Source organism: Homo sapiens, chromosome 21 (genome assembly GCF_000001405.40).
Source record: "Homo sapiens chromosome 21, GRCh38.p14 Primary Assembly".
NCBI classification, from domain to species: Eukaryota; Metazoa; Chordata; class Mammalia; order Primates; family Hominidae; genus Homo; species Homo sapiens.
Window position 1 is genome coordinate 9,350,921 of NC_000021.9, and position 26,223 is coordinate 9,377,143.

Here is a 26,223-nt window from a genome sequence, read left to right on the forward strand (position 1 = left end):
AACAGTGTTTTGTAGTTTTCTGTGTTCAAATCTTTTGCCCTCTTGGTTAAGCTTATTTCTAATTTTTATAATGCTGTTGTAAATATAATTTTTTTTTTTTGAGATGGAGTCTTGCTCTGTCTCCCAGGCTGGAGTGCAGTGGCACTATCTCAGGTCACTGCAACCTGCACCTTCCTTATTCAAGCGATTCTCCAACCTCAGCCTCTCAAGTACCTGGGATCACAGGTGCGCGCCACCATGCCCAGCTAACTTTTTGGTATTTTTAGTAGAGACAGTGTTTCTCCATGTTGACCAGGCTATTCTTGAACTTGTGACCTCAGGTGATCTGCCCACCTCGGCCTCCCAAACTGCTGGGATTGCAGGCATGAACCACTGCACCCAGCCAAATGTCATTCTTTTTAAAAATTTCTTTTCTTTTGTTTTCTCTTTCTTTTCTTTTCTTTCTCTCTCTTTCTTTCCTTTCTTTCTTTTTTTTTGAGACGGTGTCTCACTCTGTTTCCTAAGCTGGAGCACAGTGGCACAGTCTCAGCTGACTGCAACCTCCACCTTCCAAGTTCAAGCAATTCTCCTGCCTCAGCCTCCCAAGTAGCTGGGACTACAGGTGTCTGCCACTATGCCCAGCTAATTTTTGTATTTTTAATAGCGATAGAGTTTTACTATTTATATTAGAGATGGGGTTGACCCAGCTGGTCACGAACTCCTGACCTCAGGTGGTCCACCCGCCTTGGCCTTCCAAAGTGCTGGGATTACAACTGTGAGCCACTGCACCTGGCCTCTTTTTAAAATTTTATTTGCAGATTGTTCATTGTTAGTTTATAGAAATGGAACTGACTTGTGTGTGTTACTGTATCCTGAAACTTTGTTGAATTTCATTATTCTACCAGTATTTTGTGGAATTTCAGGATTTTTACACATTACATCATGTTGTCTGTGAACAAAATTTTGTACTTTTTCCTTTCCAATTTGCATGCTTTTTATTACTTTCTCTTGCCTAATTATTCTGAGTAGAAATTCCAGTACTGTGGTGAATAGAAGTGGCAGGAAGAGATGTTGCTATCTTATTCCTGATCCTAGAGGAAAAGATTTTAGTTTTTCACCATTCAGTATGATGTTAGCTGTGAGCTTTTCATGTATAATCTTTATTTACTGAGGAGTTTCCATATATTACTAATTCTTTGAGTGTTTTTATTACAAAAGGTGTTCATCTGGCTCTGGAACCAGATAAATGTTGACCTGATAGAGTGGATTGGAATGTCCCCTTCTGGTTTTTGAACATTTTTGGAATATTTTACAAAGGGCTGGCATTAATTCTTCTTGAAATGTTTGGTAAAATTTTCCAGTGAAGTTATCTGGACCTGGAATTTTCTTTTTTGGGGGGTTTTTGATTACTGGTTGAATCTTCTTACTAGTTACAGGTCTCTTTGGATTTTTTATTTCTCCATGATGCAGTATGGTGGTTTGTGTTTCTAGGAATTTATAAATTTATTCTAGGTTGCCCAGTTCTGTGGCATATGGTTGCTCACATTAGTCTCTTGTAATCTTTTTCATTTCTGTGGAATCTGTTGTACTGTCACCTCTTTTATTTATGATTTTAGTATTTGAGATTTCTCTTTTTTTCTTAATATAGCTGTGAGTTTTAAAATTTTTATTGATCTTTAAAAAAACAAACTCAGTGGTTTTTTTTTTCCTTTTTTTCTGGTCTTATTCTGCTTATCTCTGTTCTAATCTGTTATTTTCTTCCTTTTGCTTGGTTTGTCATTAGTTTTTTTTTTTTTCCCTTTAGGTGTAATGTTAGGTTATTGATTTGAGATCTTTCTTCTTTTTAATTTGATCACCTGCAGCTATAAGCTTCCCTTTAGCATGGCTTTGAGATCTTTCTTCTTTTTAATTTAAGCATCTGTGGCTGTAAGCTTCCCTTTAGCACTGCCTTTGTTGCCTCCTCCTGAGTTTGGGTATGTCATGGTTTTGTTTTCATTTGCTTAAACATTTTTTTTTGTCCTATTGTAATATAATTGTGTTGTTTTTAATAGAGGTAATTAATGAAACACATAATGAATTGTGCTTCTGTTTTTATAATATTTTAAGCATTCTTAACTCAGAAATGTAAATTTTAGAAAAAAATTCCAGGCCAGGCACAGTGGCTCACACCTGTAGTCCCAGCACTTGAGGAGGCCGAGGTGGGAGGATCATCTGAGGTCAGGAGTTGGAGACCAGCCTGGCCAACATGGTGAAACCCTGTCTTTACTAAAAATAGAAAAAAAATATATAAAAGCTAGCTGAGTGTCATGGCGGGTGCCTGTAATCCCAGCTACTCTGGAGGCTGAGGCAGGAGAATCACTTGAATCTGGGAGGCGGAGGTTGCAGTGAGCTGAGATTGCACCACTGCACTCCAGCCTGGGTGACAGAATGAGTCCATCTCAAAAAAAAAAGAAAAAAGAAAAAATTTGAGACATATTTATTTGTATTTCAATTTAGAAACTATGATCTCCTAAGTGTATTGACACAGCAACCTGACATAAAGATAAAGAATAATAAGTATATAACAAAACGGAAACTTGCAAATACCTTTTTTAATTAATTTTTAATTATATATATTTAAAAATTGCCGGGTGCAGTGGCTTACACCTGTAATCCCAGCACTTTGGGAGGCTGAGGTGGGCAGATCACATGAGGTCAGGAGTTTGAGACCAGCCTGGCCAACATGGTGAAACCTCATCTCTATTAAAAATCAAAAAATTAGCCAGGCGTGATAGCATGCATCTGTAGTCCCAGCTACTCAGGAGACTGAGGCAGCAGAATTGCTTGAACATGGGAGGCAGAGGTTGCAGTGAGCCAAGATAGTGCCACTGCACTCCAGCCTTGGTGACAGAGTGAGACTCTGACTCAAAAAAAAATTGTCTGGGCACGGTGGCTCACACCTGTAATCGCAGCATTTTGGGAAGCTGAGGCAGGCAGATCACGTTAGGAGATCGAGACCATCCGGGCTAACACGGTGAAATGCCATCTCTACTAAAAATACAAAAAATTAGCCGGACGTGGTGGCGGGTGCCTGTAGTTCCAGATACTCCGGAAGTTGAGGCAGGAGAATGGTGTGAACCTGGGAGGTGGAGCTTGCAGTGAGCTGAGATTGCACCACTGGACTCCAGCCTGGGTGACAGAGCGAGACTCTGTCTCAAATAAAATAAAATAAAATAAAACTAAGGTGTGGTTGACATACAAAAATTACACATATTTAATATATACCTTTGTGTGTGTGTGTGTGTGTGTGTGTGTGTGTGTGTGTTACGGAGGTTTTACTCTTGTTGCCCAGGCTGGAGTGCAGTGACACGATCTCAGCTAGCTGCAACCTCCACCTCCCGGGTTCAAGCAATTCTCCTGCCTCAGCCTCCTGAGTAGCTGGGATCGCAGGCGTGCGCCCCGACACCCGGCTAATTTTTGTATTTTTTTAGTACAGACAGGGTTTCACCATGTTGGCCAGGCTGGTCTCGAACTCCTGACCTCAGATGATCCACCTGCCTTTGTCTCCCAAAGTGCTGGGATTACAGGCGTGTGACACCGAATATATACATCTTAATGAGTTTAGAGATAAGTATTCGCCCCAGGACTCATCACAACAAATAATGCCGTAAACTTGACCATCACTCCCCATATATTTCTCATTCTGACCCTTTTTAAAAAATGAGACCGGGAGTGGTGGCTCACGCCTGTAATCCCAGCATTTTGCGAGGCCGAGGCGGGTGGATCACGAGGTCAGGAGATCAAGACCATCCTGGCTAACACAGTGAAACCCCGTTTCTACTAAAAATACAGAAAATTAGCTGGGCGTGATGGCGGGCACCTGTAGTCCCAGCTACTTGGGAGACTGAGGCAGGATAGTGGTATGAACTCGGGAGGCAGAGCTTGCAGTGAGCTGAGATCGTGCCACTGCACTCCAGCCTGGGCAACAGAGTGAGACTCCGTCTCAAAAAAAAAAATGAGATGACCATTTCACCTAAAATATACCCTCTTAAGTTTTATTTTAAGTGTACAATACAGGACGGCCATGCATCAGAGATATATGTGGGTTTGGTTCCAGACCACTGCAATAAAGTGAGTTATACAATTTCTTTTGGTTTTCCAGTGCATGTAAAAGTATGTTTATACTGTGCTGTATAAAGTGTGCAATAGCATATGTCTACAAAGTGTTCACACTTTAATTTACAAATACTTTATTGTTAACAAGTGCTAACAGTCATCTGAGCCTTCAGAAAGCTGCAATCTTTTTTTGTGTGTGTGACAGGGTTTTACTCTGTGGCTCAGGCTAGAGTAATTGCAGTCTCAACCTCATGCTCAATCAAACCCCCACCTCAGACTCCTGACTAGCTGGAACTACAGATACATGCCACCATGACCAGCTAATTTTTGTATTTTTTTTTTTTTGTAGAGATGGGGTTTTGCCATGTTGCCTTGACTTCCTGGGCTCAAGCAATCTACCCACCTTGGCCTCCCAAGGTGTTGGGATGACAGGTGTGAGCCACTGCACCTGGCCAAGTTTCAGTCTTCTTGCTGATGGAGGGTCTTGCCTTAATGTAAGGTGGTGGTTGCTGAGCGTTGGGGTGGCTGTGGCAATTTCTTAAAATAAGACACCATTGAAGTTTGCTGTGTCAATTGACTCTCCCTTTCACAAAAGAATTATCTGTAGCATACGATGTTGTTTGATAGCTTTTTACCCACAGTAGAACTTTCAAATTGGATTCAATCCTGTCAAACCTTCGTACAGCTGTACCAACTAAGTTTATGTATTATTGTAAATCATTGTGTCAATCCTGTCAAGCCCTCCTTCTGCTGTACCAACTAAGTTTATTCTAAATCTGTTGTCATCTCAACATTGTTTACACTGTCTTCACCACGAGTAGATTTCATCTCAAGAAACCACTTTCTTTGCTCATCCTTGGAAGCAACTCATCCACTCACGTTTTCTCCGGAGGCTGCTGCAGTCTCGCCAGATCTTCAGGCTCTGTCTCTGATTCTAGTGCTCTTGTTATTTCCACCATATCTGCAGTTACCTCCTCCACAGAAGTCGTGAACCCCTGTGTCATCTGTGAGGGTTGGAATAATCTTCCCAACTTCTCTCTCTCTCTCTCTCTCTTTTTTTTTTTTTGAGATGAAGTCTTGCCTGGGCTGGAGTGCAGTGATGCGATCCCAGCTCACTGCAACCTCCACCTCCCAGGTTCAAGCAATTCTGCCTCAGCCTCCCAAGTGTTTGGGATTACAGTCACCCCCGACCAGGCCCAGCTAATTTTTTGTGTGTTTTTAGTACAGACAGGATTTCACTATGTTGGCCAGGCTGGTCTCAAATTCCTGACCTCGTGACCCACGTGCCTTGGCCTGCCAACATGCTGGGATTACAAGTGTGAGCCACCACGCCCGGCCCCAACTTCTCCTAATGTTGCTATTTTGATCTTATTTTTTAAATCATGAATGTTCTCAATGACATCTAGAATGGTGAATCCTTTCCAGTAGGTTTTCAATTATTTTGCCCAGATCCATCAAAGGAATCACTTTCTAGAGAAGTTATAGCTTTATGAAATATATTTTTAAGTGATAAGACTTGAAAGTTGAAATTATTCTTTGATCCAAGGGCACCAGAATGAATGTTGGGTTAGTAGGCATGAAAACAATATTCAGCTCTTTGTACATCTCTGTAAAAGCCCTTGAGTACCAGGGGCATTGTCAGTGAGCGGTAATACTTTGAAAGGAATCTTATTTCTTGAGCAGTAGGTGTCAACAGTGGGCTTCAGATATTCAGTAAACCATATTTGTAAGCCGATAGTCTGTCATCCAGGCTTTGTTCCCATTTGTAGAGTACAGACAGAGCTGTGTTTTATCATAATTCTTCAGGGCCCTTGGATTTTCAGAATAGTAAATCATCATTGGTTTCAAGTTAACATCACCAACTGCATTAGCCCTTAACAAAAGAGTCAGCATGTCCTTTGAAGCCTTAAAGCCAGGCATCAACTCCTCTCTAGCTGGGAACATCCTAGATGGCATCTCCTTCTAGTAGAAGGCTGTTTTGTCTCCATTGCAAATCTATTTAGTGTTGCCATCTTAATCAGTTATCTTCTAGATAGCTTTCTGCAGCTTTTCCATCAGTACTTGCTGCTTTATCTTGCGCTTTTATGTTATGGAGATGACTTTTTTCCTTAAACCTCAAGAAACAAGCTCTTCTAGCTTCAGACTTTCCTTCTGCAGCTGCCTCACCACTCTAAGTCTTCATAGAATTGAAGAGAGGCCGGGTGCGGTGGCTGTCACACCTGTAATCCTAGCACTTTGGGAGGCCGAGGCGGGCAGATCACCTGAGGTCGGGAGTTCGACACCAGTCTGACCAATGTGGAGAAACCCCGTCTCTACTAAAAATACAAAAAAATAGCCAGGTGTGGTGGTGCTTGCCTGTAATCCCAGCTACTTGGGATGCTGAGGCAGGAGAATGGCTTGAACTTGGGAGGCAGAGGTTGCGATGAGCCAAGATCACGCCATTGCACTCCAGCTTGGGCAAGAAGAATGAAACTCTGTCTCAAAAAAAAAGAAAAAAAAGTAAAAAGAGAGTTAGGCTTAGGCTTAATGGAATGTTTTTTGTTTTTTTTTCATCTTCTATCTAGACCAATTAAACTTTCTTCATAACAGCAGCAAGATTGTTTAGCTTTTTATCATTCATGTGTTCACTGGAGCAGTACTTTAAATTTCTTTCCAGAACACTTCGTTTGCATTCACAACTTGGCTAAGTGTTTGTTGCATGAGGTCTAGCTACTGGCCTGTCTTGCTTACAGCATGCCTTCCTCACTAAGCTTAATTATTTCTTCCTTTTGGTTTAAAGTGACAGACATGCAACTCTTCTTTCATGAACATATAGAGGCTATTGTAGGGTTATTAATTGGCCACATTTTAATATTAATAAAAAGAAGCCTGAGAAAAAGAGAAAGAGAAATGGCCCGTTGGTTGGGCAGTCAGAACAAACGCATTTGTCAATTGTTTGCTGTCTTATCCTGGTGTGATTTGTGGTTCCCAAAACAATGACAACAGTAGCATTAAAGATTACTGATTACAGATCACCACAACAGATTCAATAATAAAAATCTTAAAATACTGTGAGAATGACCGAAATGTGACACAGAGACGTGAAGTGAGCACGTGCTGTAGGAACAATGGTGCCAGTGAGACCTGCTTATTGCAGGGTGGCCACAAACCTTCAATACGTAAAACACATGGTCACAAAACACAATAAAGCAAAGTGCAGTGAAACAAGATGTGTCTGTCTTTTGATAGACTCTGACAATCTCTACCTTTGAATTGGTACATTCATACCATTAACATTCAAAGTGATTATTGATATCATTGGATTAATATCTACTATATTTGTTACTGTTTTCTATTCATTCTCCTCAGTCTTCATTCTTTTGTCTACCACTCTTTTTCTGCCTTTTGCAGTTTTCATTGATGATTTTAGATGACTCCATTTTCCCTGTCTTTCTTAGTACATACTTCTCTTTTTAAAACTTTTTTTTAACTAGTTGCCACAGAATTTGCAATATACATTTACAACCAATTCAAGTCCACTTTCAAATAACACTATCCAACTATCCCACAAATAAGACTACCTGCTTAACAAACAAAACACCTAATTCCTCAGTAACATTTACAACCAATTCAAGTCCACTTTCAAATAACACTATCCCACTATCCCACAAATAAGACTACCTGCTTAACAAAGAACACACCTAATTCCTCAATATACATTTACAACCAATTCAAGTCCACTTTCAGATAACACTATCCCACTTCACGGGTGACTACCTGCTTAACAAAGAAAACACCTGATTCCTCCCTCCCATCCTTCCATTCCATTCCTTGTATTATTGTTCCTTATTTCACTTGTGTATAAGCATGCATAATCTATCTGTGTGTATTTATTATTATCTACAAACTTATTGGTCAGATCAATTATGAATAAATACATGTTTTTATTGTACCACAATGCCTCCCTACCATCCTTCCATTCCATTCCTTGTATTAGTGTTACTCATTTCAATTGTATATAAGCATACATAATATATCTGTATTTGTTATTGTCTATGATCTTCTTGGTCAGATCAATTAAGAATAAATACATAGGTTTTTATTGTACCACAATTCTTTCTTTAATGCTCTTTTTAAAAAAATGTTGATCCAGGTTTCAGTTATATATCTTTTGTTTCCCTAAAGAATTTCATTTAACATTTCTTGCAAGACAGGTCTCCTGGCAACAAGTTTCTTGAATTTTTATTTTTCTGAGGAAGGCCTTAATTCTCCTTCACTTTTGAAGGGTGGTTTCAGTGGGTACAGAAACTTAGGTTGGTGGGTTTTTTCTGTCAACATTTTGAATTTTTCATTTCACTGTCTTCTTACTTTCACAGTTTCTGAAATGTTGAATGCAGTTCTTATCTTTGTGTCTCTGTAGGTAAGGTGTTTTCTGCCCCACCTCTGGTTTCTTTCAGAGTTTTCCTTTATCTTTTATTTCATATAGTTTGAAAATTATATGTCCAAGTGTAGGTTGTTGGTATTTATTCTGCCTGGTGTTCTCAGAGCTTCCTGGATCTTTGGTTTGGTGTCTGACATTAATACTGGAAGTTCTCAGACATGGTTGTTGCAGAACTTTCTTCTATTTCTTCTCCTCTTGGTATTCTCATTACTGTTTCACCTTTTGTAGTTGTCCCACAGTCTTGAATATCATCTTCTGTTCTTTTCAGTGTTTCTTTTCTTTAGTTTTCGAAGTTTCTGATGATAAATCCTCAAGCTCAGAGATTTTTACTCAGCTGAGTCCAGTCTACTAATAAGCCATCAGAGGTATTCTTCAGTTATTTACCACGTTTTTCATCACTACATTATGTTGAAAGTTCTTACGATGTCTGTCTTTCTCATTACATTACCCATCTACACTTGAATACTGTCTACTTCATTCATTAGGCCCTTAGCATATTCTCCAGAGGTTTAAAAAAAAATTCCAAGATCATATCTTTGTCTGCTTCTGAAGCTTGCTCTGTTGACACAAATTGTATTTTTTTCTTTTTTTGGATTTTAGTAAGCCTTGCAATTTTTTCCCTTTATTCTGATGCATGAAGTACCCACTAAAAGTGACTGTTGTTAGTATAGCTTCAGTAATGCGGTGATGAGGTGACAGGGCAGGTGATGCTCTCTTAGTCTCTTTAGGCTACTATAACAAAATACTTCAGACTGAGTAATTCATAAACAACAGAGATTATTGTTCACAGATCTGGAGGCTGGAAAGTACAAGACTAAAGGGCCAGGATATTTGGTGTTTGGTGAAGGTCAAACATTCAGACACTCTCAACGACTATAGCGACAGCAGCAGTCTTCAGGAATCCTATGTGAGGGACAAACACTCAGAAGCCAGCTGGAGTGTTCTAGAATCCTATGTGAGGGCCAAACATTCAGACCCCAGCAGTAGTGTTGTGGAATCCTATGTGAGGGACAAACATTCAGACCACGGGAGCAGTGTTCTGGAATTCTATGTGAAGGACAAACATTAAGACTCTCATAGCAGTGTCCTGGAATCATATGTGAGGGACAACCATTCAGACACCAGCAGAAGTGTTCTGGAATCCTAGGTGTGGGAAAAACATTCAGAACCTAGTAGCAGTGTTCTGGAATCCTATGTGAGGGACATACATTCAGACCACGGCAGCAGTGTTCTGGAATGGTATGTGAAGGACAAACATTCAGACCCTTGTAGCAGTGTTCCAGAATTTTATGTGAGGGACAAACATTCAGACCACAGCAGCAGTGTTCTGGAATCCTATATGACGGACCAACGTGCAGACCCTTGCAACAGTGTTCTGGAATACTAGGTGAGGGAAAAATATTCACACCCTTGTAGCAGTGTTCTGGAATTCTATGTGACTGACAAACATTCAGACTCCAGCAGCAGTGTTCTGTAATCCTATGTGAGGGACAAACATGCAGACCCCAAGAGCAGTGTTCTGAAATCCTATGTTAAGGGAAACATTGAGACCCCAGCATGAATGTTCTGGAATCCTATGTGAGTGACAAACATTCAGACCACGGCAGGAGTGTTCTGGAATCCTATGTGAGGAACAAACATTCAGACCACAGCAGGAGTGTTCTGGAATCCTATATGAGGTATAAGCATTCAGACCCTCATAGCAGTGTTCTGGAATCCTATGTGAGGGAGAAGCATTCAGAGCACAGCAGGAGTGCTCTGGAATCCTATGTTAGGGACAAACATTCAGAACCTCGTAACATTGTGCTGGAAACCTATGTGAGGGACAGGCATTTAGACCCTCGCAGCAGTGTTCTGGAATCCCATGTGAGGGTCAAACATTCAGATCCTCGCAGCAGTGTTCTGGAATTCTATGTGAGTGACAAACATTCAGACTCCAGCAGCAGTGTTCTGTATTCCTATGAGAAGGACAAACATTCAGAATCCAGGAGCAGTGTTTTGAAATCATATGTTAAGGGCAAACATACAGACCCTAGCATCAATATTCTAGAATCATATGTGAGGGACATACATTCAGACCCTCACAGCAGTGTTCTGGAATCCTAGATGGGGGACAAACATTCAGACCCCAGCAGCAGACTTCTGGAATCCTATGTGGAGGACAAACATTCAGACAATGGCAGCAGTGTTCTGGAATCCTATGTGAGGGACAAACACTCAGAGCCTTGTAGCAGTGTTCTGGAATCCTATGTGAGTGAGAGTGCCTGGAGCCTACCCAACCTGACGCCCCCAAAGCCCTCACAGGGTCTGACCTCCCAGCATGCACCTGCCTCTCCCTGAACCCCAACTGCCCACCCTGCCTGTTCCCCAGCCTCCTCCATCCTGTGCAGCCCATAGACTGTGACCATCTCTCCAGCCACTCTGGCCCTTCCTTTACCTTTGTCCTGTCAGAATCTCTGAGCAGGATCTCCCAGGTCCATCCAAATATGTGCTTTGTCCACTTTTGACTAGGCCCTTGGGCATCACTGGGCTATCCCAGCTGTCCACAGGGCCTTCAATAATGCACATTGCACCTGGCTTATCCAAGCAGTGCTCAGCAGCCCACATTGACCAGGTCCCTGCTGACCAGACCCTGCACATCAGGTCCTCCCTGATGACACCCTCACTGATTAGACCCTCATGACCAGGCCCCACTAACAAGGCCCCCACTGCCGGGCACACAATGACAAGGACTCCACTGACCAGGACCTTACTGACAAGGACTCACTGACAAGGCCTCATGGACTATGTCCTTACTGACAAGTCCTCACTGACTAGGTCATTATTGACAAGGCCTCACTGATCAGGTTCCACTGATCATGAACTCATTCCCTGGCCCAAAGATGAGGCCCCACTGACCAGGCCTCCAGGGAACAGGTTGCCACTGATCAGGCCCCTAATAATGAGGCCTTATGTCACCAGATGCCCCTGACTGGGACCCTAGTGAGTAGACCCCACTGAACCGGCACCAAATGCTGAGATTCCCGCTGACCAAGTCACCCTGTAGACCGGTGCTACAAAAGTCACCACTGACCAAGTCCTCTCTGACCAGGACACTACAGATTAGGTCCCGCCGACAAGGCTGCCCTGACCAGGGCCCCACTGACAAGGGCCTCACTGATGAGGACACGCCCACCAGGGTCTGCTGACTAGGTCCCATGTGCCCCGTCCTGCACTGAGTAGCACCCCTTGACCTGGTCACCAGTGCCCCAGCCCATGCTGACCAGACCAGCACTAAGCCCCAGCTGACCAGGTCTCCACTGATCAAGCCCCACAGCCCAGGTTTGCACTGACCAGACACCAAACAACTGGCAGCCAATAGGTCCCCACTCACCAAAACCCCCACTACTAGACCCCACTAATGAGACCCTCTCTAAGCAGACCCCTGCTGACCACTATCCCACTAAATAGTCCTCACTGACCTAGGTCCACGGACCAGGCCCACACTGATCAGGCCCCTCCTAACCACACTGGAAATCCAAGCGGCAATGACATGTTTCATATGGCAGAAGTTGGAACAAGACAGAGAGAGGAAAGAGGTTCCACAGCCTTTTAAACTACTAGATCTCATGAGAACTCACTCACTATCAGGAGGATGGCATTAAGGGCTTGGTGCTTTGCCATTTGTGAAGGATCCACTCCCACTTTTTATGATTAAAGCTTTTTCCACCTAGGCCCCGACTCTAACATTAGGGAGTGTACTTTCACATGAGCTTTGGAAGGGGCATAGAGAAAAACCGTATTATTCTGTCCCTGACCCCACAAATCTCATGTCCTTCTCACATTGCAAGATACAGTCATGCCTTGCCAGCAGTCTCCCAAAGTCTTAACTCATTTCAGCATTAACTCAAAGTTACAAAGTGCAAAGTCTCATCTGGGTCAAGGCTACATTCTCTTTTGCCTACAAGTCTCTGAAATAAAAAGCAAGTTCACTGCGTCTAAGGTACAATGATGGTACAGGCATTGTGTAAGCTTTCCATATCCAAAAGAGAGACATTTTCCAGAAAGCTTCTTATTTTTATCTGAGGCCCCCTCAGCCTGGCCTTCACTGTCCATGTTTTTGTCAGCATTCTTGTCACAGCCATTTAACCAGTCTCTAAGATGATCCAAAAATGTTCTCATCTGTCTTCTTTGGAGCCCTCCAAACTCTTCCAACCTCTACCCATTACCCAGTTCCGAAGTTGCTTCCACATTTTTAGGTATCTTTATAGCAGTGCTCCAGTCCTCATTTGACATTTTTGGTAAGATTTATCTTGAAAAAGAGGTTTAATTGGCTCATGGTTCTGCAGAGTGGACAGGAAGCTTAGTGCTTCTGCTTCTGGGGGGCCTCAGAAATCTTTCAATCATTGTGCAAGGTAATGAAAGAGTGAATTGTCTCACATGGCAAGAGGAAATCACGGAGAGTAGGGAGTGATATAGAGTTTTCAGTGGCCAGATCTCACGAGAAGTCACTCATGATTGTGAGGACAGTACCAAGGGGATGGTGCTGAACCACTCATGAGAAATTTGCCTTCATGATTCAATCACCTTATACCAGGATCCACCTCCAACATTAGGAAGCATAATTCAACAAGAGATTTGGTGGGGACACATATTCGAATTGCCTCATCAGTCTTTGAGTATAAAGACATCCATAGCAGGCTTTATCCAGCCAGCTTCTTTGGGATTCTTTATAGGGTTTCAGATCTATAGAATATCCACTAAAATATTCCTACTTCAAAAGGCAATAAAGTAAGTGGTATTATCATTCTTCAAAAAGTTATAATGGTAGTGTAGGCATTCATAGTATGATTTAGTTCATTTGCTACTGTTTCTATTCTATCACCATATTAACACTTTCGTACACAATTCTATATTCAGCTGGGTTTCAGTTGAGCACAAAGTCATCCTTGTACTACCACCGATAGCTGGCACCAGCTCTTTGATACTGTTATCATTCTGCTGTAGAAAGTACCCGTGAACTGGAAAAAGTCCACACTCGAATAGCTAGTCATTCAACACTATCAAATTTTAGGTGACTTTTTGAAAAAATAGTATCTCTTGTTGCAAGAAATGCTCCATCTGTGATTTCAAGTCTCTCACTTGAGTGAATTGGATGGAAGTGGTGAATTTCAGCCAAAGTGGCCAAAGAAATCCTGTTCCTGTGATAATGACTCCATCAGCCTCTGCACCTCTGTCTTCCCTTCTGCCACATGTTGTCTGTTCTCCGTGACTTTGGTAAGAGCTTCCTTGTGTATGTGAATGATGTCCAGGATGTTTGTCTTGTGTCCCTGAGACAGCACTAACAGGTCCATGGCTGGGTCCAGGTCCTTCCTGGACTGACTGGCAAAGAGCTCACTGACAGAGTGGAAGGCATCTATACTGAAGTGGATGGCCTGGTCCAGCTCCAAGGCCTGGCTGAGGCTGAAGAAGAACTGTCAGGCTTCTGATGCTCTTTCTCAAAGCCTGCCACCACTCATTGGCTGTGAAGTTGACCTGAGTGCCCTGTTGTCCATCTTCTTGATGAAGCACTTGAAGCCATCAATCTTGCTCTCCCACTCCTAAAAGTTGAGTGTCACACTGGGGGTGGGCTCAGGGCCAGGAAGAATCTGGCACTCACCATCTCATCCTTCTCAGCCTTCCTCTTGCCCTGTCTCCAGGCTATCTCTTCAGTGCTGGTGGGGCACATCAGGAAGTGACAAAAAATGTGGCACTGCACCTGCATCCAGAAGCTGGCTGTGTGGTTCATCTGCAAGATTGGGCCCTTTCTGCACTTGAACATAGATCCACTTCACCATAGATGCCTTCCACACTGTCAGTGAGCTCTTTGCCCATCAGCCCAGGCAGGATCTGGACCCAGTCATGGACCTGTTAGTGCTGTCTCAGGGACACCAGGTCAACATTCTGGACATCATCCACGTACACAAGGAAGCTCTTACCAGAGTCCTCCTCAAGATGGCCTGTGGTCTGCCTCTTGGCACCCGAGAAGCCCACAGTGCTGTAGAAGCCCCGATGCTTGGACTGGAGCCCCAAAGGCGGCACACACCCCAGTTCTGAGCCTGCTGCTCATTTCCTCTATGTGGCTCCATTTGCAGCACATTTGTTGCACTGAGACCTGTGCATGCCAGGCAAAGCCAAGCTGGCTCAAAGAGCAACCACCCACCTCTGCAAGGGTGTGCCAGGAGCCAGTGGACCAGCCACCAACGTCACTCCCTGCCAGTCAGGGTAAATCAGTTATTCTGCCCTGGAGGTGGAGCCCCAGTGCCATCTGCTTTTCCTCAGGCCTCCACTCCATCAGCTGTCAGGTGGTGGTCACTCAGACTGTGGGAAACTGGCCATCCCTGTTTCCTTGAGTGCGTGAGGTTGGTGACTGCTCCACCTGCTACTGGCATACCCTTGCAGAGGTGGCTGGTTGCTCTTTGAGCCAGCTTGGCCTTGCCTGGTATGCACAGGCCCCAGGTACTGAGAAGCTGCTCCGAGTAAGTTTGTCTTGGGCCAAATTCTAAGTCTGGCCAGGGCCACAGAAGGCCGAGTCCCCTGGGTGGTAATCCTGGCTGCTGCAGGGGGGCCCATGGTCCCCCTCCCCTCCCAGGGCTCAGGATGAGGTCCGACTGGGACAGGATGCTTTAGGTATGGGACTTGTGCCCCAGGAGGGGACCTCTGTCACACACGTTGGGTGAGAATATGTATGGCATGCTGCTGGCTGCCAGGGCTGTTGGGATGCACGTTCACCCTTCCCTTCAGGGACCTCAAAGTGACCAGCTTCCCCTTTATGAGTGACTTCCCAAGGCCCAGGAGCCATTTGGGGCTGCAGAGCAGCTGGCTGCATGCTGCCCTGGCTTCTTCCATGTTGTGCTGGTCACTACCTACCAAGGGGTGTCAGATGCAGGCACAATGTAGGACGATTGTCTCTGGGCCTGTGTCTTGGTTATCATGGAGCTAGACTGGGCCTGGTGACAGGGCCCTGATGGGGTTGTCCTGTGTGGTCACGGAGGTGATCAGAAAAGATGCAGAATGGAATTGCTGCGAGGATGAATGAGATGACTGTCAGCACATAACAGGCAGCTGGTGAGTGTTCAGGGATTACCCTCAGTAGCTGCCCAGAGACCAAAACCATCCACCTGATAGTGACTTTTCCCAAGCCAGAAGGAAGAGAAAAGAGCAGGTCCCACTCACCTGAATCTGATCAGTGAGCTGTGTTGAGATGTGCCTCTCATCTAGAAAATGGTCCTTCACGCAGAGCTACTCACAGACACTGCTGTGTGTCTCTAACTGCTCCACAACACAGAGGCGATGGGGACTCAGCAACAGTGACATTCTGGGGTGACACAACCCACCACCATGGGAGTCTGCTTGGGTCAACAGGGCCCAGAGTCCGTGTCCTCTATCCCCTGAACTGACATGTGTGTATGCAATGTATTTGTGTATGCATATGTGCCTGTGTGTGTGTGAGTGTGTATGTGTGTGTTTGTCTTGCTTCTCTGGACAGGCCTAGCTTCTCCACTCATGGGTGCACCCAGGTCCTCATCACTGTCACCTTAGAGCATTAGAGCCTCTATAGGTGCTCCCCAATCTCTGCCCTCCCCACCCATGGTGGTCCTGGGGATGCAGACAGAGGAGGGGCACTGCATAATGCTGAGAGGGCTGGCACCCTCTCTAGGTGGAACACAGGTCATTTGTAAAGTTGTAGGTCTGCCAAGCAGTATTGGATTCAACACATCTTCTCACCTTCTCTTTCCAGCCACCCTCCAGGGTGCCCCGACTCACTTTCCCTGCAGATGGAGGCAAGGAGGCTCCACAGACAACCCCCCTGCCTGAGGTCACATAGTGGCCAGCAGGCCAGGTACTGACAAACTGCCCCTGACCAGGTTCCCAGTGATGAGTGATGAGACCCCTAATGACCACTCCTCCATTGACCAGGTCCCACTGATCAAGTCCCCACTGACCATGTCTTCCTAACCAGGCCCACACTTAATAGGCCTCATGGGCCAGACCCCACTGACCAATTTTCCACTGACCTGGTCCCCATTGACAAGACAGGGTTCCCACTGACAAGACCACAATTTACCAGGTTGCTGCTCAACCGACCCCCCACTGAACAATTCTCCATGAACGAGTACCCAGCTGACTGAGCCCCCTCTGACCAGGCCCTCACTGACCAGGCTCCAAGCCACTAAGGCCCCACACTGACCAGGCCCGTGATATATTGTGTATGCCCCACCAACCAGTTTTTCATTGTTTATGTTCCAACAGATCAGGCCCCACTAATAAAGCCACCACTGACTAGGTCCCCCCACTGACCAGGCTTCCAGTGACTAGGTCACCAGGTCCCCACTGATGAGGCCTTTACTGAGGAGGCCGCCACTAACCAGGCCCCTGCTGATCAGGTCCCAAATGACCAGGTCCTGATGACCAGGTCATCTCTGACCATGGTCCACTGACCAGGCCCCGGAGCAACGGGGTTCAAAGTCTCATTACAATGTCCCCCTCAGCTCATAGACCCTCCCTCCCTGCATGTGTGCCCAGAAGTCAGGCCCTGGGGTTTTTTTTTGGGACGTGGCCTTTCCTCCAAGACACAGGGAGAGACAGTTGGCCTCAGGCTCCAGGTTCCCAGCTCCACACTCACCCCAAAGGCCCTCTGGGCCCGTCTCAAAGGAGAAAGTGAGGTGGCCTGACACTGCCTGGACACACCATCTACCCTATTCCTGAGTGTCAGGGTGTGAGGAAGGGAGGGACATTTGGTAGATAAGGCACGCTGTGCTGTTGGGTCTCTCAGGGCCCTTCCCACAGAGCCCCGATCTAAAGACAGAACACAGAGGCTACAGGAAGACTAATCCAGAACCTCTGAGACAGCCAGGGACCACATGAGGACTCTCCCCAGACAGCCAGAAGGCCCTTTGCTAGTTTCTTGGTACTTCAGTGGATGTGGCAGTGGTTCTTCTGTTGGGGACCAGTGAGTACACACTGGGGAGGGCTCACCTGTGCTTCCTCAGTGGCTCCACCTCTGCTTCTAAAAAAAATGACTCATTCCAGAGCTGGCGCAGAGAAAATACAAGCTGAGCTTAGAACATCTTCTGCCAGAAAGTAAAAAAGTGCCGACAGAGTAATGGAGACAAATCAAAGAGACATAAAGTCAGCTTGGAATGTCTACTACTGGCCTAATCTTGGGGAATTGGAGCATCAGAATCATGAGCTTTCCTTCTCCCTTATTTATTGGTTTTATTTCTCCATGTAGAACAAAGAAGAGAATAAGAAAATAATCATCTGGTAACCATCATAGTAATAATTGTTCAAACACAAGTCATCCATGAAATGCTAAATCTAGTGGGTTCTGAGGAGTAACCAGATATTTACAGAGCCTCAAAGTATCTCCATACAAAATACGGTTGAACTACAAAAAGAAAATTGTAACATTAGCATGGACAAACCTGGCAGGTACTCCTTAACTCTCCTAAGTAATAAAAACTGTAAAATGCAAATAAGCCTTCGATGACCTTTACTAACCTTTACTAAAGTATCAGTGATGACTTGGTTGTTTAAACAGCTGACATTTGGGCAATTTGAGTATGTCAAACTCAATAATACTGGTTTTCATTTGCAAGATCCACTTAAAACTTAAGGAGGCCAAAAAACATCATTTAAAATACCCTATAAATTATAATCATACATATGATACAAAAATATCCTACTTCAGTAAATATTGGAATGTTATATATTTTATGAGAAACAATTAAAATGTGTAAATAGCCCAGTAATAAAGTTTTATAATCTTTTAAATCATCATAGAATTTTTCCTTAAGACTTTATGGTTAAATATTCTCTTCATTAGATGTGGCTTACCCGTGGATTCTAGAGAAGAAAGTAGATGGGAGCAAGTGTCCAATACAGCAACAGCTGGAAAGAAAAATAAAGAATCTTGTTCTTTACCTAAAACACTTCAGTTAACTAAGTGTGAGTTTAAAAACTAAAGATTGAGAACTTTATCAGAGTTAATAAGAATGAGAAATATGTATGTACATTTACAATACAAAATTACTATTTAATAATTTACACATGGCATTAATTCTAATTGTGTTTAAATATCAGAACTTTTTCAGTCTTCATTCATGTAATCAACAGCCACATGCTAAGGTACTAGAACCAGCACTGGAATTACAAGATGAAGATGGCATGGTCCACCTCTCAACAGTCATAAGCTATAACCTAAAAAACAGACAGGCAGGCAATGTCCATATAGAGTCATAGATACCGTGACAGGTATACAGCAGGGCACTACTGGAACACAGAGAAGGGACATCTACCCACTTTTATGTCAATATCATGGGCTTTCTGGTGGAGGAGATAACATAGGTTGATACCTGAAGGACAAGGAAAAGCTTCCCAGATAGAGGAAAGAGGCAAAGGCAAAGAGCCTGAGGTGAGGAAGAGCCCTGCAGAGTTCCACTCCATCCAGTTTGGTGCTAGAGCAAAGGGCAGAGTGCAGTAAGTGGTGAGAAACAAGGCTGAGTAACTTGGCAAGAATTACATTGACATGGGTGTTTTTATTTCATGGTGAAAAATTTGGAACTTTTCCTGAGAACAAGTGTAAGCCAATGACACAGTAAATTAGAGGAGATTTAAAATGTCACCTGTCAAGTGACTGCTTATGAAGGGTTATTGCTCAGCTAAGTATTTCTGAATGAGTCTTAGTCTGTTGGCCTTCAATCTCTACCGAAACCCTGAGAACTTGATGATGCTTTTGTTTTCTGAGAATCGTTTCAGTGTGCTGGCTGACAGTTCCATGAGGATGGCAAAACTTAAGAAACTGTAGAGCCAGTGAAAAAGAGATGCACAGACTTCTTGGGAACTGTTTAAGCTTAGGAACATGATGAATTTATGGTGCATAAGTACAGTCTTCTCTGTGAAAGTTTTTGTTTTCACATCTTTCATTAGATGTGTGTAAGAAAAAAATATTGATGTAGTATCTACTAACCCAAGAATGAAAAGGAATGCCATTTGCTATTTACACTTTATTTCTAAAATAAACCTAAATTTAATTAATAAATTTTGTCAACGTACTTCTCTTTGTTTCTCTAATTATTTATTCTACACAGTCCAGCCCCATCTAAAATAAGTAAAAATAATAATAATGTCTAAATTAAACAAGAAACATTATCATGAAAATCATGTATCACTTACAAAATGTGGCCTTTAGTATTTTTAGTGACTAGACATAACTTGAAGTTTGCTTAAATAGAAAAATAATCACATAAATAAAATAAAATTTCTACTTATTTTAAGTTTAGATAACAGAGGATGTATATGTGTAATGCTGTTTAGAGTAATCTGACAAAAATGCAGTTAATATTGATCTATTGCATATACATGATTTTAGAAAGGTAGTGTTTTATTAGTACAAAGGTTAAACAATGGCCAGGCATGGTGGCTCATACCTGTAACCCCAGCACTTGGGGAGGCCAAAGCAAGCAGATCACAAGGTCAGGAGATCGTGACCATCCTGGCCAACATGGGGAAACCCCATCTCTACTAAAAATACAAAAATTAGCTGGGCGTGGTGATGTGCACCAGTAGTCCCAGCTACTTGGGATACTAAGGCAGGAGAATTGCTTGAAGCCAGGAGGTGGAGGTTGCAGTGAGCCAAGACTGCACCACTGCACTCCAGCCTGGTGAGAGAGTGAGACCCTGTCTCACACACACACACACAAAAAAAGATTAAGTAATTAAAGCCATCTTTTGCAATGAATGCATTGCTTTGAAATTCTTAGAAAACTTTGCCCTTTATAAAAGTTTAATCCATTTTTTACTTCAATAAATTTTATCTTAAAAAGAAATTTCTGTTCTCTACTTATAGTAAACTTTTCTTTTTTTTTTCTAGTTTGTATTCTAAATTAACGTGGTACCTCTGTAAGTTTCTTCCAAAGGCATATTGAGGGATACCGAGGTTTGCAGTACAATTAAACCCATCACACAGGTTGTGAGCATAGGACCCAAGAAGTAGTTTTTCAACCCTGGCTCACTCTGTCCCTCCCCATTCTTATTTCCCAGTGTCTATTATTCCCACCTTTATGACAATGTGCACCCAATATGTAGCTCCCACATGAGTGAAAACATGAGATATTTGGTTTCTGTTTCTGTGTTGGTTTGCTTAGGAGAGTGGATTCCAGCTGTATTCATGTTGCTGCAAATGATGTGATTTTGTTCTTTTCATGGCTGCATAGTATTCCATGGTATATATGGAATTTTCCAATCTACCTTGGATTTTCAATCTACCTTGGATGTACCTGGATTGACTCCACGTCTTTGCTATTGTGAATAGTGCTGCAATGAACATACATGTGTATACATCTTTTTGTTACAATGATTTATTGTCCTTTCGGTATACCCCTAGTATAGTAATGGGGTTGCTGCATCCAACAGTCATTCTTAGTTCTTAATTTCCAAACTGCTCTCCATAGTAGCTGAATTAATTTACATTGCCACAAACGGTTTGTGTTCCCTTTTCTCCACAGCCTCCCCAACATCCTTTTTTAAGTTTTTATTTATTATTTGTTTTTAACAAAAGTCATTGTGACTGGTGTGAAATGGTATCTCATTGATGTTTTGTGTGGCATTTTTCTGATGATTAGCAATGGTAAGCATTTTTTAATGTTTGTTGGCCACTTACGTGTGTTATTTTGAGAACTGTCTGTTCATGTCCTTTGCCCATTTATAATGGTCTTATTTATTTTTTGCTTGTTGATTTGTTTAGGTCTCTTATGGATTCTGGATAATAGGCGTTTGCTATATCCATACTTTGTGAATATTTTCTTCCATTCTTTTAGGCTTTCTGTTTAATCTCGTGATAGTTTCTCATGCTGTGCAGAAGCTATTTAGCTAAATTAGATCACACTTGTCAATTTTTGTTATTCTTGCAATTGCTTTTGAGGACTTAGCCATAAATTAATTGACAAATATGATATCCAGAAGAGTATTTCCTAGGTTTTTTCCAGGATTTTTATAGTCAGAAGATGTACTCTTATGTAAAGAAAGCACAAACCTTTTTTTTGTTTTGTTTTGAGACAGAGTCTCCATCACCAAGGCTATAGTGCAGTGGTATGATCTTGGCTTACTGCAACCTCTGTCTCCTGGGTTCAAGTGATTCTTCTGCCTCAGCCTCCTGAGTATCTGAGATTACACATGCCTGCCAACACGCCTTGCTAATTTTTGTATTTTTACTAGAGACAGGTTTCATCATGTTGGCCAGGCTGGTCTCAAACTCCTGACGTCAGGTGATTCACCTGCCTCGGCCTCCCCAAATTTTGGGATTACAAGTGTGAGCCACCATGCCTGGCCAAGCACAAAGCTTTTAAAATAAAAAGGGAAATGAACATTTTAGTGTTTTGTTTAATTCATAAAATGCAATTATTTTGGATTCTACTAAATAATAAACATCCATATGTGGCAAAGTGGATGCTAATCATTCAGTCGTGATTATGGGTGGGAAGAATTGAGATGGTGCAAATAAACTTTTTTAATTTTTTTTTTTATTTTCAAGATGGAGTCTTGCCCTGTCACCCAGGCTGGAGTGCAGTGGTGCAATCTCAGCTCCTGCAACCTCCGTCTCCCAGGTTCAAGCAATTCTCTGCCTCAGCCTTCCTAGTAGCTGGGATTACAGGTGCCCACCACCACACCAGGCTAATATTTTTTTTGTACTTTTAGTAGAGTTGGGGTTTCACCATCTTGGCCAGGCTGGTCTTGAACTCCTGACCTCGTGATACACCTGCCTCAGCCTCCCAAAGTGCTGGGATTACAGGCATGAGCCACCACACCTGGCTGGTGCAAAGAAACTTTAAAAGTGGCATGGGCCGGGTGCGGTGGCTCATGCCTGTAATCCCAGCACTTTGAGAGGCTCAGGCAGGCAGATCACAAGGTCAGGAGTTCAAGAAGAGCCTGGTCAATATGGTGAAACCCTGTCTCTACTAAAAATGCAAACATTAGCTGGGTGTAATGGTGGGTGCTTGTAGTCTCAGCTACTCAGGAGGCTGAGGCAGGAGAATCACTTGAACCCGGGAGGTGGAGGTTGCAGTGAGTGGAGATGACACCAAGACACTCCAGCCTGGGTGACAGAGTGAGACACTGCCTCAAAAAAAAGAAAAAAAAAATGTGGTATGAACCACAGCTAAACTATAATCAATTAGAAAGTAAGCCAGACCATCTCAAAGTATATCATCACTTATCAGGCAATAACATGCAATTTCTAAAACCTAACTTAAATGCAGCTTTTAAAGACATTTCAAACATGTCAGTTTAGTCACATTTATTGAATAAAGTTAGCAAATGGATATCTCTTGAAAATGAGAGCTCCAGGGAATTAAAAAATGTAAAGTTCCCATTTCCTTTCTGTGTTAACACAGCTAATTGTGATCTTTACTTCACATGCAAAAGTCAACAGAACAACTCAGTATTTCACCAAATTATAAACAAGAATTACGCTAGAGAAATGAAACCCTAAAGAGAAACGGTCATATAACTAACCTCAGTCAAGTAGTTCTGGCAGTTATTTGAAGTCTGAGGTTTGAAGTAGGAATTCTTACGGGCATTTGGAGAATATATTTTCTGTTGAGTCCTATACTAGTAAGATTTTCAACACAAGGTGACTCTCGACCTCGCCTTGTAGGAAGAGTGCTGAGAAAATATTTCACCTGCTCTTTCTCCATAAAGAGCTGATACTGATCATTGCTATTTTCTTATTCGATCTGTAAAGGTAGCAAAGACAAATGCTTAATATTTCATTTTTCCTTAAATGATTCTTAATGACTTGCAGTTTTTAAAAACTTACCCTGAGAGTAAACCAAATTACCCACTAAATAGTGTTTTCACACAGAAGATGTGTAAGAGCATACCTGTTGTAAGGAATTATAATTTTAAAATCATTCTAAAGAAGCACCATTGTTTCTAAGGTGATTTCTACTGAACAAGCAGTTCAAACAAAGTAGACAGGGAAGAGAAATGGCTATCAGTGATGTATGGCTCAACAGGTAAAACTTCCTGCCTTCTAAAATGGCTGTACTTGGAAGATTCTGAAGATTCCATTAGAAATACTTGTATTTAAAGGGTAATAATGTGGGAAAATGAATATGTTGATTTGCTTGATTATAAGAACCACTTCACTAGAAATAATTATATCAAAACATCATGTTGTACTCCTTAATGTAGGTTAAGAAAACTAAAATGAACGAAAAAAAATCTAGGAACACTTGTGTTTAGTAAACCAGTTTTAGATTTCACTCTTGTACATTTCACCCATTATCTAGGACCAATTAAACATTTGGCACTGAGGAATAATTCAGAGCAACAACTCCTAGGGGAGAACTAGATTGTCTGGTTGGTGATCAAAAAGAATTAAAGCATCTCTGAAGGCAATTAGTCCCCAACACTGTGACCAAGGCCCTGGAGGTGGGGCATGTTCTTTCTGCCTTCCACACACCGCTTCAGGCTGAACAAGGTGTTATTTTTTAACCGCTTTGTGAATTACACTTCTTTAAATTCCTGTGATAATTATTCCCTATTTCACAAGGGTGCCTTTCTGTAACATCTTGAATATGTTACACAAATAGTCTTTCTTGAGGCACCCTCTGGTGATAATACTAAAGATCACAATCAAAAACAATTGTGCCCAGAGTAGAAGTACCACTTTGCATTTAGGTTGTGATCCACTGAAAAGTAAATTAAACACATTAATATTTCTATTTAGGGAAATTCTGACAAGTAATTTTATAACAAGGTCACTTCATTGATTATAAAGCTTCAAAAATACTTAGTGAAAAAAACTAACAGATCAGGTTAATTACATGAGACTTTTCAGGAAAAAAAGCCATACAAAAGCAAAAAAAAAAAAAAATGAGAGGAGAGACAAAAACTATCTTTGACTAACATTTTAAAGGTAAAATTATTTACTAACATTATTTTTCAAAATTACATTGTCAAATTAGCATTCACTTCCTTCTAATCTGAAGCCATCTCACTAAAAATTATGCTTTTGAAACAAATTAATGAGCTTAATTCATTTTCTATGAGTGTATGTTTTGACTTACTTAGTTAATTTTTTAGACATGGAACTGTTAGCTTTCAATGCTGCTGCAAAGGCTTCCTTATATTCTTCTAACTCAGTTGTAACCTCTTCATAAGCAGTTTTCATTTTGTAGAATTTACATTCCACATCTTTAAGTGTGAGTTCCTTCTTATTTAGTGAAGCTGTATTATATCCTTGTTTAACTGCTCTAATTGTTTTTTATATTGTGCTTGTTCCTAAAACAGAGGAAAAGAATACACTTTTAAAACAATTATAACCTAATTATTATGTTTGTTGCCTTTCATTTTGAGTCAGCGATTCAAAGAGTATTTTTGAATATGTTAAAAAAGAGGATGAAGTTTAAAATATTTCAGCAATATCAAAACTAATAACTGAATTCAGAATTAAGTCTGATTTGTAAAAATTTGAAATCATAATTATGCTAGTATTAATGTAATCTGGTCATATAAAAAGTAATAGAATCCATTCATAGTCTTAAAAAGTGATCAATGAACACTGTAGCTTAAGACCAATTCATAATTATCACATAATTTCTAAATCACAATTTTTTCCTATGCCAACTGGTCTTAATCATCAAATTACTCCATAATGAGAATCATTACTCTGAAAGATTGATTTTGTTATAATAATAATGGAAATTTAAATATTTAAAAGAAAAAACAGATACCATTTTTTTCTAGAACTCTACAAAGCAGATTGCTACAAGAGAGGCAATCTCTCTCTCTCTCTCTCTCTCTCTCTCTCTATATATATATATATATATATATATATAATCTCCAAAATATAATTTGCAGTGAAATAAATGAAAGCACATTACAAGTAAACTTACCTGATTTAAACAACTCACCTGTAAATGGATTTCTTCTAATTTTTCTACTGCCTGCATTGCCCTTTCATCTAGCTCTGATTTATATTCTTGTAGTTTACTAAGTTCTACCATACTGTTTTCCATATGTGTCTTAAGATTTAATATTTCTTCTTCCAACATCTTTTTATCCTCCTCAAGTTTTTCACATTCCTGTTGTACTTTTTTCATAGATAATAACTCCTGTTGAAAAACTTGATTCTCTTTAGCCAAATTGACACATTTTGAAGATACAGCTTCCTTCTCCGCCATAAGATCATCAAACTGCATGAATAAAATAGTATAGCTTGATAATGAAGTAGGCTGAGAATAATCTAATACAAAACCAATAGCAAATTTTGAAATGCATTTACTTGCAATAAAATGTTATCTGTAATGCAGCAGATTCTTCAAATGTGAACCCTTAAATTATTCAGAATTTTAAGAACAAAGTTAAAGCTACCATGAGTCATAAAAATATATTCTTTACTATCATCATCTTTGCCACAGAATTTTTGTACTTCATTTTACTTTTATTTTTCTGATAATTCATTTTTGTTCCTCCTTAAATGGCACAAAGTTATCTCCTAGTAAAAAGTGTCTAACCCCCTTCCTTCATTATCATTCCCCACAGTATGTCAAAAAAAGTTTCAGAGATATCATATTGAGTTATTTAGGCCAAAGTCAATAAATGGGTCTAGGAATAAGACTTTGAAAGTGATATTACACTCTATATTAGGCATGGTGGCTCATGCCTGTAATCCTAGCACTTTAAAAAGCTGTGGCAGAAAGATC

At 41.7% G+C, this 26,223-nt stretch overlaps 1 protein-coding gene and 1 long non-coding RNA gene across 10 annotated transcripts in view; one reads left to right on the forward strand and one right to left on the reverse strand.

The window, feature by feature from the left end:
- Positions 1 to 18,292, forward strand: part of LOC101930100 (uncharacterized) — a 44,165-nt gene extending 25,873 nt beyond the window's left edge. For 2 of the 3 annotated variants that reach the window (NR_188302.1, NR_188303.1), the window contains exons 4-5: positions 16,254 to 16,355; positions 17,748 to 18,292. This is a non-coding gene — a long non-coding RNA (uncharacterized LOC101930100). Of the gene's footprint in view, positions 1 to 16,253; positions 16,356 to 17,545 lie in introns of all 3 variants that reach the window. The other variant, NR_188301.1, reaches the window with a different exon arrangement.
- Positions 9,089 to 25,857, reverse strand: LOC101927345 (putative ankyrin repeat domain-containing protein 20A12). 7 transcript variants are annotated; one of them, XR_007067816.1, is made up of 6 exons: positions 25,432 to 25,857; positions 24,586 to 24,799; positions 23,027 to 23,247; positions 18,353 to 18,406; positions 17,492 to 17,547; positions 9,089 to 15,861 (listed from the first exon to the last, which is right to left on the reverse strand). XR_007067816.1 is itself a non-coding variant. In XM_011544009.3 (2 exons), the coding sequence occupies exons 1-2, from the start codon at positions 25,717 to 25,719 to the stop codon at positions 24,737 to 24,739; spliced, it is 351 nt and encodes a 116-aa protein (XP_011542311.1). In that variant the 5' UTR covers positions 25,720 to 25,857; the 3' UTR covers positions 24,601 to 24,736. The 7 variants fall into 7 exon arrangements, 1 of the variants encoding a protein (XP_011542311.1); XR_007067813.1 differs by having other exon boundaries at positions 9,089 to 10,452; positions 15,383 to 17,547; XR_007067809.1 differs by having other exon boundaries at positions 17,492 to 17,583.
- Positions 25,858 to 26,223: the final 366 nt, after the last annotated feature.